General features: G+C 37.3%; 1 protein-coding gene across 6 annotated transcripts in view, besides 1 other annotated feature; it reads left to right on the forward strand.

Annotated features, from left to right (window-relative positions):
* PDLIM5 (PDZ and LIM domain 5) overlaps positions 1-11,666 on the forward strand; it is a 216,282-nt gene extending 204,616 nt beyond the window's left edge. For 5 of the 6 annotated variants that reach the window (NM_006457.5, NM_001256426.2, NM_001011513.4 and 2 more), the window contains 3 exons: positions 870-990; positions 5,865-5,980; positions 7,421-11,666. In NM_006457.5, the coding sequence (NP_006448.5) occupies positions 870-990; positions 5,865-5,980; positions 7,421-7,510 (327 nt within the window). In that variant the 3' untranslated portion in view covers positions 7,511-11,666. The remainder of the gene's footprint in view (positions 1-869; positions 991-5,864; positions 5,981-7,420) is intronic. The other variant, NM_001256427.2, reaches the window with a different exon arrangement.
* Positions 11,737-13,751: an enhancer, noted in NCBI's record as "VISTA enhancer hs1438". NCBI's record gives its function as "enhancer in: midbrain (mesencephalon)[4/11] | limb[5/11]" and the evidence as "EXISTENCE:transgenic organism evidence [ECO:0001131][PMID:17130149]".

Raw genomic sequence — 14,054 nt, forward strand, 5'->3', positions numbered from 1 at the left:
ATTATATACATTTATATACATTATATACATGTAATATATACAACTATATATAATTATGTATATTTTATTATTTTTATTTATTTATTTATTTTTTTGAGACGGAGTCTTGCTGTGTCACCCAGGCTGGAGTGCAGTGGCGCGATATCGGCTCATTGCAAGTTCCACCTCACGAGTTTATGCCATTCTCCTGCCTCAGCCTCCCAAGTAGCTGGGACTACAGGCACCCACCACCACGCCCAGCTAATTTTTTGTATTTTCAGTAGAGACGGGGTTTCACCGTGTTAGCCAGGATGGTCTCGATCTCCTGAACTCGTGATCCGCCCGCCTCGGCCTCCCAAAGTGCTGGGATTACAGGTGTGAGCCACTGCGCCCGGCCCCATTATGTTTTGTTATTAAATTATATATATTATATTATTGCTTCTAAAATGCACCAAAGTATAGGTTTGTTTTAATTTTTAAATGCTTCCTCCTTCCCCCAGAACTTTTGCAGATAATACCATAAAACCTTGGTAAGTTAATGTTTCCTGACACCCTTTGAGAAGAAGCAGAAAGTTTTGTAGCAAGCATTTATGAAATGCTTACTTTATTCACTGTACATATAATGTATAAATAACATAGTGATCATTCTTTAAGTTTATTGATTGGCATTTGTAAAGAACACACGTCTAAATATGCATCCGTTTAGATGATTTGTGAGTCTGTTCTTAAGTATCTCTTGTTACTTTGAGGGAAAGCTCAAGACAAAAATGAAGTATGTGTGCCTACTTTGGATTAGCTCTACAGGGATTTACTGGTACAGATATTAGAATAAACATTTATGTATTTATTGTCATCTTCTTTTTTTACATCCAATTACCTTTCTGTAACAGGAAGTCATCAGTGCGTTGAAACAAACTTGGCATGTTTCCTGTTTTGTGTGTGTAGCCTGTGGAAAGCCCATTCGGAACAATGTTTTTCACTTGGAGGATGGTGAACCCTACTGTGAGACTGGTAAGATCAGGGAGCCATTTGTTTCTTGAATTTTGAATAAAGGTAAAACATTAACCCTTATATTACTATAAAGCTCAAGAAAATATTAGGCAAAGTTATTTTCTTAATTGTTTTGGAAGCATTTAATGCTGCTCTAAGCATGTAGAAAAAACTATGTAGATTTTTTTTTTTCTTTTGAGACGGAGTCTCACCCTTGTTGCCCAGACTGCAGTGCAATGGCCCAATCTCGGCTCACTGCAGCCTCTGCCTCCCAGGTTCAGGCGATTCTCCTGCCTCAGCCTCCCGAATAGCTGGGAATACAGGCATGTGCCACCATGCTCGGCTCATTTTGTATTTTTAGTAGAGACAGGGTTTCGTCATGTTGGCCCGGCTGGTCTCGAACTCCCGACGTCAGGTGATCCACCTCCCAAAGTGCCGGGATTACAGGCATGAGCCACTGCGCCTGGCCCTATATAGACTTTTTAATGTGACTTTGTCAAAACAGATATTCCCAACTTTATTATTAGAATTGAGAATGTAAGCATTACTTAGTAGGAAAAATATTTTGCTTGAATTCCCAATGATTTGTGGATATAAATTCTACTAAATCATGTACCTTAAGTCCACTTCTTGTAGTCCAGTAGTGAATTTTGTAAACATCAGAAATGTTCCACTTTAGAATATGATATTGATTTGCCCTTTAAGGCGACTGCCTTGAAAATAAACTGGAGATCGTTTGTTACTTTTACTGAATGAGAAGGTAATCCTGACTTGGATTGTTCCCTTGGTAAAATGATTTTTAATAAACTAGACTAAAAGGACCTATCTACTGCATTTGTCTTATTACACAAACTCAGAACGTTTCCTTTTCCTTCCCAAAGTCTGTAAGTGAACTTTTATAACATTTATTAATAGTGCCCTTACTTAGATATTACTACCACATATACATGTTTCAAAATACAAAACATTTTTCCTTTATTGTGCCTCTATTCACTACCAGTGCATTCTCACTACTGAGTTTTATTGTTATTCTACCTTGAAATTCAAAGCTCTGTGCTGATAGAAGGAGGTATTCCAAAATAATGGAGTTAAAGGAGCAGTCAGCTTCTAAGTTGAAGCTGTGTCATCATCATTCAGCCCTTCTTTGCCCACTCAGTATTCTCTTATTTTCATCTTCCTTTCAGCTCCTTAGTTTAAACCAACCTGGATATATTCCAGACTGTCTCCCAGGAACCCCAGAAATTCCAGTGAAGTACCCCATGGGCTGTTTTGGGACAGGTTGGCCACAAGCTGCCTTCCTCAATTCAACCAGAATACTTCATATTTTGTAATTCCACTTAATTTTTCTGAAGAAAGGGCTGGGTTTTGTTTGTTTGTTTGTTTGTTTGGTTTTTAGTTTGATTTGTTTGTTTTAGCAGCTTTGGAAGACATTTTGACTAACTGGCAGGTAGCCCATATCTAGCCAAAACACATAAAACAGTCTAGCCTTAATACCTATATTTAATGTATTTGAAGTCATATTTTAAATACTAAATAATTACTTATAGGAAAGGAAAAACATTATTGAATATTTATTTAAATGTCACATCTAATCAACTTGGTCTGTTTTTGTTCTTTTTCTTCTTTTAACCTCCAAACCATTTCTTAACCCAGTTTCCTCTATCTCAATAAATAACCCCATCGTCCACTATCCAAAAACCTGCAGGCCATGTTGGATTCTGCTTTTCCCCTTGTTCTTTCCTTATCCAATCTAAATAGGAAATTCTGGCAGCTCTACCTCCAACGTATATCATATTCATTTATTTCTCTCCATCTCCACTAAAGCTAACTAAAGCTAAAGTCACTGAAGCTAACTTGCTTTCACCCTTTTTCTGGACATTGTAATTGGCACCTAAATGGTATAGCCCCTCACCTTCCTTCCAACCTCCAAACAGCAGGCATAGAGCAGCTGTAGTATATATGTGTGTATGTGTGTGTGTGTGTGTGTGTGTGTGTGTGTGTGTGTGTGTGTGTATTGTTTAGACGGAATCTTGCTCTGTCGCCCAGGCTGGAGTGCAGTGGCGCAATCTTGGCTCACTGCAAGCTCTGCCTCCCGGGTTCATGCCATTCTCCTGCCTCAGCCTCCTGAGTAGCTGGGACTACAGGCACCCGCCACCACGCCTGGCTAATTTTTTTGTATTTTTAGTAGAGACGGGGTTTCACCATGTTAGCCAGGATGGTCTCGATCTCCTGACCTCGTGATCCGTCCACCTCAGCCTCCCAAAGTGCTGGGATTACAAGCGTGAGCCACCACGCCTGACCAGTAATAGTTTTTGAAATGTGAATTAGATCAAGCTTAAACCCTTTAGTGGGTTCCACTAGAAAAAAATTACACTTTTTTTTTTTTTTGAGATGGAGTCTCACTCTGTCACCCAGGCTGCAGTGCAGTGGCCCGATCTCGGCTCACCGTAACCTCCACCTCCCGGGTTCAGGCGATTCTTCTGCCTCACCTCTCAAGTGGCTGGGATTACAGGCACCTGTCACCACTCCCGGCTAATATTTTTGTATTTTTAGTGGAGACGGGGTTTCACCATGTTGGCCAGGGTAGTGTAGAACTCCTGACCTCAAGTGATCCACCTGCCTCGGCCTCCCAAAGTGCTGGGATTACAGGTGTGAGCCACCGCGCCCGGCCAAATTACACTTTTGAAGGCCTGTTTTGCCATCCTTATCTCCTCTCACCTTACCTTCTGTCACCAGATTCTACCCATAAGCAGCCCTTTGGCATTTTTCTGAACATGCTGAGATCCTTCCTTCTTTGGGGCTTTTGTGCTTACTGTTTCTTCTAACTTGAATGTTCTTTGTCAGTTTTTCTGCGGCGATTCCTCTATATTCACGTTTCATTGCAACTATTACCTCTTCAGAGAGGCCTTTTCTAATTTTCCTTAATAGTGTAGTGCCCCCCCCAATTATTTTGTATTAAATTACTATTTTCTTTCCTTCATGGTACTTATCATAATCTGAAATTTATTTATTATCATTTATTTTTTAAATTCAATAAATCATGACATCCTCTTTCCAATGAGAATATGAGCCCCATGAGGAAAGCAACCTCAACTGTCTTCTTCACCACTGTACCCCTGCAGTGCCTTGAACAATGCCTGGCACACAGTAGACTGCATGAATCTATGCTGAGCAAATGGTGCTAAGGAATACTAAAGATTGACAATTGCCAAGTAAGGTTAATCGAGTTGCAAATTATAGCCTGCCTTCCTCTCCAGCTGAGGTTGGATTGACAATGTCAAAGGCCAAAGGGTGAACCATGAGTCAACACAGTAGTGAGAGGAGCTGCATAAAAGAAAATTAGGTCAACCAGCCTGGGCAAGATGGGGAAACCCTGTCTTTACTAAAAATAAAAAAAAATAAAAAAAATAGCCAGGTTTTGGTGGTGGGCACCTGTAATCCCAACTGCTCGGGAGACTGAGGCAGGACAATCACTTGAACCCGAGAGGTGGAGGTTCCAGTGAGCCGAGATCGCGCCACTACACTTCAGCCTGGGCAAGAGAGCGAGACTCTGTCTCAAAAAGACAAAAAAGAAAAGAAAATTAGGGCCAGGCACAGTGACTCAGTGCCTTTAATCCCAGCTCTTTGGGAGGTGAGGCAATCACTTGAGGTCATGAGTTCAAAACCAGCATGGGCAGCCTACGAAGACCCTGTCTCTACAAAAAAAATTTTTTTTTAATTAGCTGGACATGGTGGCTTGTACATGTAGTCTCAGCTACTCAGGAGACAGAGGCAGGAGGAGGCTTGAGCCAAGGAGGTGGAGGCTGCGGTGAACTATGATCACACCACTACACTCAAGCCTGGGTGACAGAGCAAGACCCTGTCTCTCTAATGAAAGAAGAAAAAAAAAGAAAATTCTAATTTAGTAATAGAGAAACATCTCAAAACTGCTTTTGTCAGAAGGAAATCCTGTTAGTATTCTTATAACTGTAATCTATGTCAAGTAAATGGTCTTTTCTGGCTAAGGGTTTTCAACATGAAGTCATAAAATTGAAAGGAAAATACAGCAAAATAAATTGTGGCTAATATCGTTGTGATACAGTCTAGCTAGAAACTCAGTCATAGCACTTATTCATGTAAGTTTCCTGTAATGTTTCTTTTTTCTTCCTTGACCAAGTCAGATACGCTATGAAATTTGCCAATATCAGATTTTGTTTTTGATCTCTCTTCATTAGTCTTATTGTTGCTAGTTATTAGAAGTCCTTTGTATTTCTTCAGAACAGTCATGTCTACTGATAACTGGTCACAGAACAGTTCTTTTTTTTTTTTTTCTTTAAGACAGTCTCACTCTTGTCACTAGGCTGGAGTGCAGTGGCGCGATCTCAGCTCACTGAAACCTCCACCTCCCAGGTTCAAGCAATTTTCGTGCCTCAGCCTCCCGAGTAGCTGGGACTACAGGCATGCGCCACCACGCCCAGCTAATTTTTGTATTTTTAGTAGAGACGGGGTTTCACCACTTTGGCCAGGATGGTCTCAATCTCTTGACCTCGTGATCTGCCTACCTCAGCCTCCCAAAGTGCTGGGATTACAGGCATGAGCAACCGCGCCCGGCCAGAACAGTTCTTTATATGTATTTAGGCAATTAAGTAGTTGGTGAGAAGTGAGAAGTATTACATGGAAAATTATAATCAAGAATGTTAGGTTGTATAAATAATATTTATACCAAGGGAATCCTGAAACATGCTAAACATCTCTCTCAAGCCAAATGTTATGCCATCTCCTGAAATTTTTCAAATTCCTAATATCTTTGTCTTCAGCATCTCATCTAATCCTGATTTTGTTGCTGCCTTCTAGGAACGATCATTCTAAAACTTCATCATGTTTAAATTATGTCTCTCTGCCCTCCCTTAATACAGATTATTATGCCCTCTTTGGTACTATATGCCATGGATGTGAATTTCCCATAGAAGCTGGTGACATGTTCCTGGAAGCTCTGGGCTACACCTGGCATGACACTTGCTTTGTATGCTCAGTAAGTAGAGTCTTATTTCCTAATTAAAGGGGTATAGTATGGCCAATTCTAGCTTTAGTATTTAATGGAAATATCAGCTTCTGGGTCTTTCAGTCCTTCAAACCTAAGGAAAAATTATTTTTAATTTTTTGTAAATTTCGAAAGTTGTTTATTAAATTTTTTGGCATTTTTGAAATTATTTGGCACACAGTGAGATCCTTAGTCCTTAGAGAAAATACAATTTTAATATATTTTTGTCTATAAGGAGAAGCTATGTATTTCTTAAAACAGTAAGATTCCTTTACTTAAAAAAAAAAAAACCTCTGTTACTGGAGTGTTTGTTGTAGTTTTTGGAAACGTTAGGTACTTCTTAAAATACAAATAAATAATTATAAAAATCGGCTATTGGATTAACACTGGGAATAAACTATATGTTGAGTCATTTCTTTTCTTAGCAATAGCCCCTGGATATTCTTTTCTTTTTGAGACTATGGTCCAATAAACGTGATAAAGTATTTGCCTATTCATTTGATATTTTAATATTTTTGGTTTTATGTTTAATGATTAGGATGGATTCAAATATTAAAATAAATAGTTTTTAAATGTAGGAAGTAAATATCCAGTAAACGTGCTCTGTTCAGGTGTTTGACTTTTTAAAATTAGATTTAACATATCTACAGTTTTCAATACTCATTGTACAAAGGGGGCAAAAGTAATATTAATCGGTGCTTAATGATTTCCCCAAACATTACCATTGAACTTTTGCTTGTTTACCTCATCCATCTCTTAGACTTCATAAAGTCTATAAAAAGCAGAACTTTTAGCAGATTTGCCTTTTCTTTTCTAATAAAGCTGTTCATTCTAATTAACAAAGGCAATAGGAAGAACAAGGAGCTGTAAATGTAGATAGTGGACTGACTGTATAATCCTCAGCAGCCAGATACTGACCTGGTTATAAGAAACAAACAAAAGAGGTCTCAGCTTGAACACAAGGCAGCCCTTAAAAAAAAAGGGTCTCAGGTATTCTGTGCCTGTGTAACTGGCAGCAAGCTAATGTTGGGCTTGGGAAGGTTTGGTAAAGCAAATGAGTCTCTACAACACAAAGCAAAATTAGGACGTTGTTTATAATTTGGGGAGATAAAATATATTTAACGAGCCCCCTTTCTATATTGATTTTCAAGTTAGGGATAAATCTTCCCTCTGGATAAAGAAAAGTGATGATCAGTGCTTTCTATAAATTAGAATACATTCTAGGAAAAAGCAATTTTTCATTGCTTTTGAAAGATTATATCTAATGTTATAGTAATCGTCAAATATTAGGGAGTCTAACTTAACCAACTAAAGTGTTTTGTCATATTATCCATTGGGGGGAAAAATCACTCTCTCCTTCTCCAGCATACTGGGTAAAATCCTCTTAATATCCTCTTAAATAATATCTCTTAAATGCTGCTTCTTTTTCAGGTGTGTTGTGAAAGTTTGGAAGGTCAGACCTTTTTCTCCAAGAAGGACAAGCCCCTGTGTAAGAAACATGCTCATTCTGTGAATTTTTGAAAGTCAACAGTTCAGGAGAAGAGAAGGAATTTGAAGAGAAAAAGGAAAATTAAAATTACTAATTAATTTTTAGATTCAATATTTATATGGAGTTTTGAAAAATAATAGTGGCCCTGAAGGAATAAATTCCAGCTTTAAAAACCAAGTCTGAGGAAATATTTGGCTTCATAAAGTAAAGAGACGGTTTGGCATTTATTATTACTTTTTCCTGTATTTTATGCCCATAAAATAAGCTTTATAAAAACCAATTTCCTGATGGACTATTAAATTCATCTTAGAATAAATTAGTGAAGAATTTAATTTTAGAATAAATAATCCAATCTGAAATAATTATACCTTCTTTCCTTGTTAGGTAGTTATGAGTAAATCTGCAAAAGGCAATGAAAATGCCTTAAATTTTATCAATAACAGAATTATTGTATTTAAAAAAAAACTAATACTTATCTTTAAAATAGTAAATAGGATTTTAAACAGAGAATTTTATCAGTAATAGGTGTCAGTTTTTAAAAAATTGCTTGTAGGCTGAGCGCGGTGGCTCACGCCTGTAATCCCAGCACTTTGGGAGGCCAAGGTGGGTGGACCACATGAGGTCAGGAGTTTGAGATCAGCCTGGCCAACATGGTGAAACCCCATCTCTACTAAAAATACAAAAATTAGCCGGACGCAGTGGCACGCGCCTGTAATCCCAGCTACTCAAGAGGCTGAGGCACGAGAATCACTTGAACCCGGGAGGGAGAGGTTGCAGTGAGCCAAGATCGTACCACTGCACTCCAGCCTGGGTGACAGAGTGAGACTCTGTCTCCAAAAAAAAACTTTGCTTGTATATTATTTTTGCCTTACAGTGGATCATTCTAGTAGGAAAGGACAATAAGATTTTTTATCAAAATGTGTCATGCCAGTAAGAGATGTTATATTCTTTTCTCATTTCTTCCCCACCCAAAAATAAGCTACCATATAGCTTATAAGTCTCAAATTTTTGCCTTTTACTAAAATGTGATTGTTTCTATTCATTGTGTATGCTTCATCACCTATATTAGGCAAATTCCATTTTTTTCCCTTGTGCTAAGGTAAAGATTTAATTAAATAATTTTGGCCTCTCATAGTTTTCTCTCTCTTTAAAGAGAATAAATAGAGGGCCAGGTGTGGTGGCTCACGCCTGTGATCCCAGCACTTTGGGAGGCCAAGACGGGCGGATCATGAGGTCAAGAGATCAAGATCATCCTGGCCAACATGGTGAAACCCTGTCTCTACTAAAAATACAAAAATGAGCTGGGCATGGTGGGGCGTGCCTGTAGTCCCATGTACTTGGGAGGCTGAGGCAGGAAAATTCTTGAACCCAGGAGACGGAAGTTGCAGTGAGCTGAGATCACACCACTGCACTCCAGCCTGGTGACAGAGCAAGACTCCGGCTCTTAAAAAAAAAAAAAAAAAAAAAAAAAGAGAGAGAGAGAATAAATAGAAAAGAATGTGGCTGGGAATTGTGAATCAGAAGATTATACCCCCCAATTGTTTTTCAATCCCCTTTTCTCAAATAATAAATTAGTTAAATCAGTTTCTGAGTTATGCCACTGGCTGATGAAGAGTTGAGAGGTCTCTTTGCAGAATGATCTTTTTGTTTCGTTTTGTTTCTTCTTCTGCATTTAAAAATTAAAAGATTGGTTTGAGGATGTGATGAAATTGAGACTTTTTGTGGTTTTCTCTCAATAATAAGTGAACCAATTTCAAATGTGATCACAAAGTTTGGAAAGCTTTTATTCACAGAGGTTGGGTAGTGTTGGGAGGGGAGTTTAATTACTCAGATTGGCCTGTTATTTGATTTCCTCCTTTGGGAAAAGAATTATGTAGATACCACATGGAGACAGGGAAACAATTGTGGTAAAACTGTGGATCCTGTTGCTATTTGCCCAGTGAGAAAACAGATTCTGGTATTTGATTTGGTTTTTCTCTTTGTTTCCAGAATGGATGAAAGTCCATGAACCTCCTAAGTTATAATTTAAATTTGTTTGGGGCAAGGTGATTTTATAGTCGAGACAGAGCCCTAGGTCCTTCCTGCCCCATCACTCACTTACGACATCACTTCCATTGTGTGCATGTTTGTTATAGAGGAGGTTTTAGGCTACAATATTTGTTTAACCTCCCTAAGAACTTTCAAGGCATCTGTCCTGAAAGCTGTTAATTTATGGTCTAGCAGATTTATATTATATGCAGATAATAATTAACTGGGGATAAAAGAATGGCAAGGGGTGACACAAAGTAGCAAACTGAATACTTCTCCAATAGCAACCCCAAGCTACCTCCTCACCCTGCATCTTGGAGGGAGGCAGGAAATTTCTTTTGAAATAAAGTGCTGGAGCTGAATTCTGCATTATTTATCGTTGCTGCTGAAACCACCTATAAAAGACTTGCTGGCTAATGTGCATTGTCATATAATGTACACTGTCACATCTTTACAGTCTTGTATGTTATAGAATACAAAATAAGTTGATGGTTTTGTTTGGTGTGAGCTTTTTGTTTGTTTGTTTAGTTTTGCCTTCATAGGTTATATGCCAAGATAGTATTTGATAAGTCAATGACATTTGGATGTTTTCTTCAAAGAATTTTATTTGACCCAGATTTCTTATAAAGTTATCTTACATTAAGGATGTCATTTTCATCAGACCTTCTTTCTACATATTATTCATGAAGCATAATGTTGCATTTCTCCAAATTTTATGCCTGAAAGGGTAGTGTTGCTTCCTAAGGTATCATGTTGTCTTTGTGCTTTGTCCATCTCTTCCGTGGCGAAGCTTTATATCTGTTCCTAAAACAGTTAATCCTGTGAAATAAATATTGAACATAATCCAGAAGAATCTCTCTGTTTCCCTTGGGGAATGCCATATTTAATTCACCAGCAGTAATCCTTTAATAACTGGCAGAGCACTTTATTCTTCTGGTGAGCTCCCTGAATATTTATTTTTCTGATTATAAATTTTCTATATTAGTAGCATTTTTTAATTATTACTTCTTCACTATAGAGCATTTACTTTTAGTCTCTAGATGTATATTTTGGAATGCTGTACTTGGCATAACATAGATTAAAATCATAATGCATGACTAAAAACTCCTTGGATTTATTTCCCATTTTAAAATTTTTAGCGGTAAGTTCAGATTTATAATCTTTCTCTAGACTTCCATGGTCTGAATGTTGCCTGCTGAAGTAGCAACCTAAAAAGTATCCCCTGCTTATGCTTGTCCAGTTGGCCCTCCATGTCCATAGGCTTCGCATCTGTGATTCAGCCCACTGTGGGTCAAAAATATTTGGGGAAAAAAATGGATGGTTGCGCCTTTGCTGAACATGTACAAACTTTTTTTTGTCATTAAACAATATAGTATAACAACTATTTACAAAGCATTTACATTGTATTAGCTATTATAGGTAATCTAGAGATGATTTAAAGTGTATGGTAGGATGTGCATAGGTTATATGCAAATACTACACCATTTTCTATAAGGGACTTGAACATCATGGACTTTAGTATCCTAGGGGGTTCTTGGAACCCATCACCCATAGGGGCACCATAGGACAACTATAGTACCGTGTTTATTTCCTATTAATTCAGGTTCCGTTTAGAGTCTAAAACTAAAACCTAATCATTTAGTCACAGTGTAAAAACAAATGGAAATAACAGCTCAAATCTTCAAAATATTACTATAGCATTATGTTTAAAATAATCTACAACAAAAATGTACCATTTTCAAGCAGTACTACATTAGGAGCCCTTTTATAGAAAATAATTTCTTCTTTACCCCCGTTCCAGTGTGAATCTAGTATTCTGTTAACATTTGTGTGGCATTTGGAGTTTGTCATCCCCATTGAAGGGAGAGCCTTCTCAGACATGAAGCAAGGGAAACATACTGAATAGTTTTACACAAATTTGATCTGGCTTCCATTTGTCCCCCTCATTTCCCAAATGTTTAAATGTATTGGATTTGGATTCTCAATGTATAAGTTGCCTTATCTGTTAATGTCTATCTTCTGTCTCTTTAATTTTGTATATCTGCTGTTTTGCTTTTGGATACATTTTCTAATTAGAAGTCACATGATAAATATAATCAGTATAGTAATAATACCATAATGTGCACATACTCAATAAATAAATGACTGCATTGTTGTAAATGAGCTCTCCTTTTTGTTGTTGTTGGTTGGCGAGTGGTTTCCATCAAGTCATCATGGGAAAATAATCAAGTTCCATATTCACAGGTTAGGATAGGATGTAATAATTCTCAGAAGAACCCTTCTAGTATGATATTTGCTTATCAAAATGTCTCAGAAACAAAATATTTGAAAATACTGTCACATTTATTGTATTTCTCTCTGTTCTTATGCCGTGCATGTAGAATGTACCCAATGTTTATGAATTAATAGATAAATAAGGTCTATTGTCTTTTGAAAATATTTATTGCTGAAATGATTTATTGGAACAACCTGTCATATCAAACATCATATTAGAACATAATCAAAGAACATAAATCATCATCCATATTTCCACATTTTGCATTAGATATTGGGATGCTTAACTCATCTCAATCTCATTAACTGACTATTCCACAACTAGGTAGGCTCACCTCTGCCTCATTTGTTTATTAGTTTAAGATATTTTTCCAACTGTATAAAGTTAAGACAGATGTTTCTGTTGCACGCTCTATGTTGGGAATAAAAGAGAAATTCAAGTCTATTTGCTCACAGTATATTAAACTCCAGAAGCCAAACTTTTAAGAGCATCAAGTCTGCATCTGACATTTTAATAGCTGCTGTTTGGTTTCTATCAATCACGTCATTGCACATTAAAATGCACCGACAAAATAAGAGATCTGTCATTCCTTCGTTAAGAAACAGTAATCCAGTACAAGATTTATAGGCTTAAGTCTCAACCGTGTGTTCACAATAAATCCCCATTCAGTGCTCAAACCAGAGCAAGCCTCCCTGTCGTTCAGTGTTTTCTAGTCGAAATGTCCCCAATATAAGATTATCAAAGGTTTTCTTACAGAACTACATATAAAATCCTTTTGCCAGCAAAAGCTTAATTTGGATTGGCGGTTTCCCTTTTTGGGTATGCTCAGACAAGATCTTGGTTATATCAGAAACACATAGGTACTGATGTATTATTAGCAGGCCTGGTGTTAATTAGGGAGAATTACCAGAAATAGTTTGCTTCGTGGAAATTTATTGCAGAATCACACTTGACTGATGGCAGAATAGGAGTTGCTGAGAGAGAGCAGCTCCCACTCATAACCACTAATTAATAGGGTGCCAAAATTCCGCAGAGAAAGTTTCATCCCAAGTGTGGGAGCCTCCCAGGGAAAATGGTTCTTTTGCAGTATTTAAAATTTAACAGAGGAAAGGTGCTAGGACACATGGCTACCTAACAGAAATCTCAGACTGATATGGTTTTGTGTTGTACGTATGAATGAGAGGATTTAACTCAGTAAGTACCGGGCCCAAATGTTGCCTGTGTATTTATCGTATATGGAGATATGCATATTATTTTTAATGCGGCAAGTGCCTGATTTGCCAAACTATTCATTTTCTGAGGAGAATTTACAGGACTGTATACCATTTGTCTATAGTATTATATTACAGAACTTTTGATTCTGTGATTTAGAATCTGTCTGGGTAGGTGGCAAGATTGCATCAATGATTAATAAGAAAGGTGTAGCCTTCATACCTTGAACACAGGGTTGGGGAAAAGTGAGATGCATTTTGTGATTTTCGCTAAAGGTAGAGCACTAGGGGAGCCCTTTTAAATAGAAGTTTGCCAAGAAGGCAATTTTTTTATTTTGTCCTGTCTGTGACTGCATGTAATAACACACAATAAAGCTTGGAGCTGTTGTTTAGTGTAGAATGGGATATTTCCATGTCCGAAAACCACTTGTCTGACCTTGGGGAGATAAATAAAGCAATTTAGAATTCTCAGGGAGTATAATTTTTCAATTTCTCAAATATGGTAAATACAGTTCCCAAGGAAAATGACTTCTATGCCAGGTCCTTGAGTTGATTGACACGGTCTCTTATGCATCTGTGTTTCAAAGGACAAAGTTTCTGCTCTTTCTGTCTGAAGTTTTCTAATTGGGTTCCAAATTATTTTTCATCTTCATATTCTAAACTGTCATGTTTGCTCTCTAGTTCAAATATAATGATTTTTTTTCCTTTTTCCTCTTTTTTCCTTGTTTCTTTTGTTTGTAAAGCACACACAACTGGTGCTATTCTAACTTACTCAAAAATACCATTGTTTCTTTGTTTTAAAGTATTTTAGTAGACTATAATACCTTCAGGTGTGTCTTGAATTTTCTACCCTAGTTTATTACTAATATGCCCGTTTGTTCCCTTGGTAAATGAGAAAGTAAATAGAACTCCAGTTACATCATAGCAATATTAGTTTTGGCATAATAAAACTGCTTACTTAACCTATATTGATGTCATCTAACCCCGGAAGCTTTCTCTATCCCTGTTTCCTTGAGAATCCTGACAATTTTAGCCTCCTTAATTGAATGAAACGGAGAGCAG

The sequence above is a fragment of the Homo sapiens genome, chromosome 4 (genome assembly GCF_000001405.40).
Source record: "Homo sapiens chromosome 4, GRCh38.p14 Primary Assembly".
NCBI lineage: Eukaryota > Metazoa > Chordata > Mammalia > Primates > Hominidae > Homo > Homo sapiens.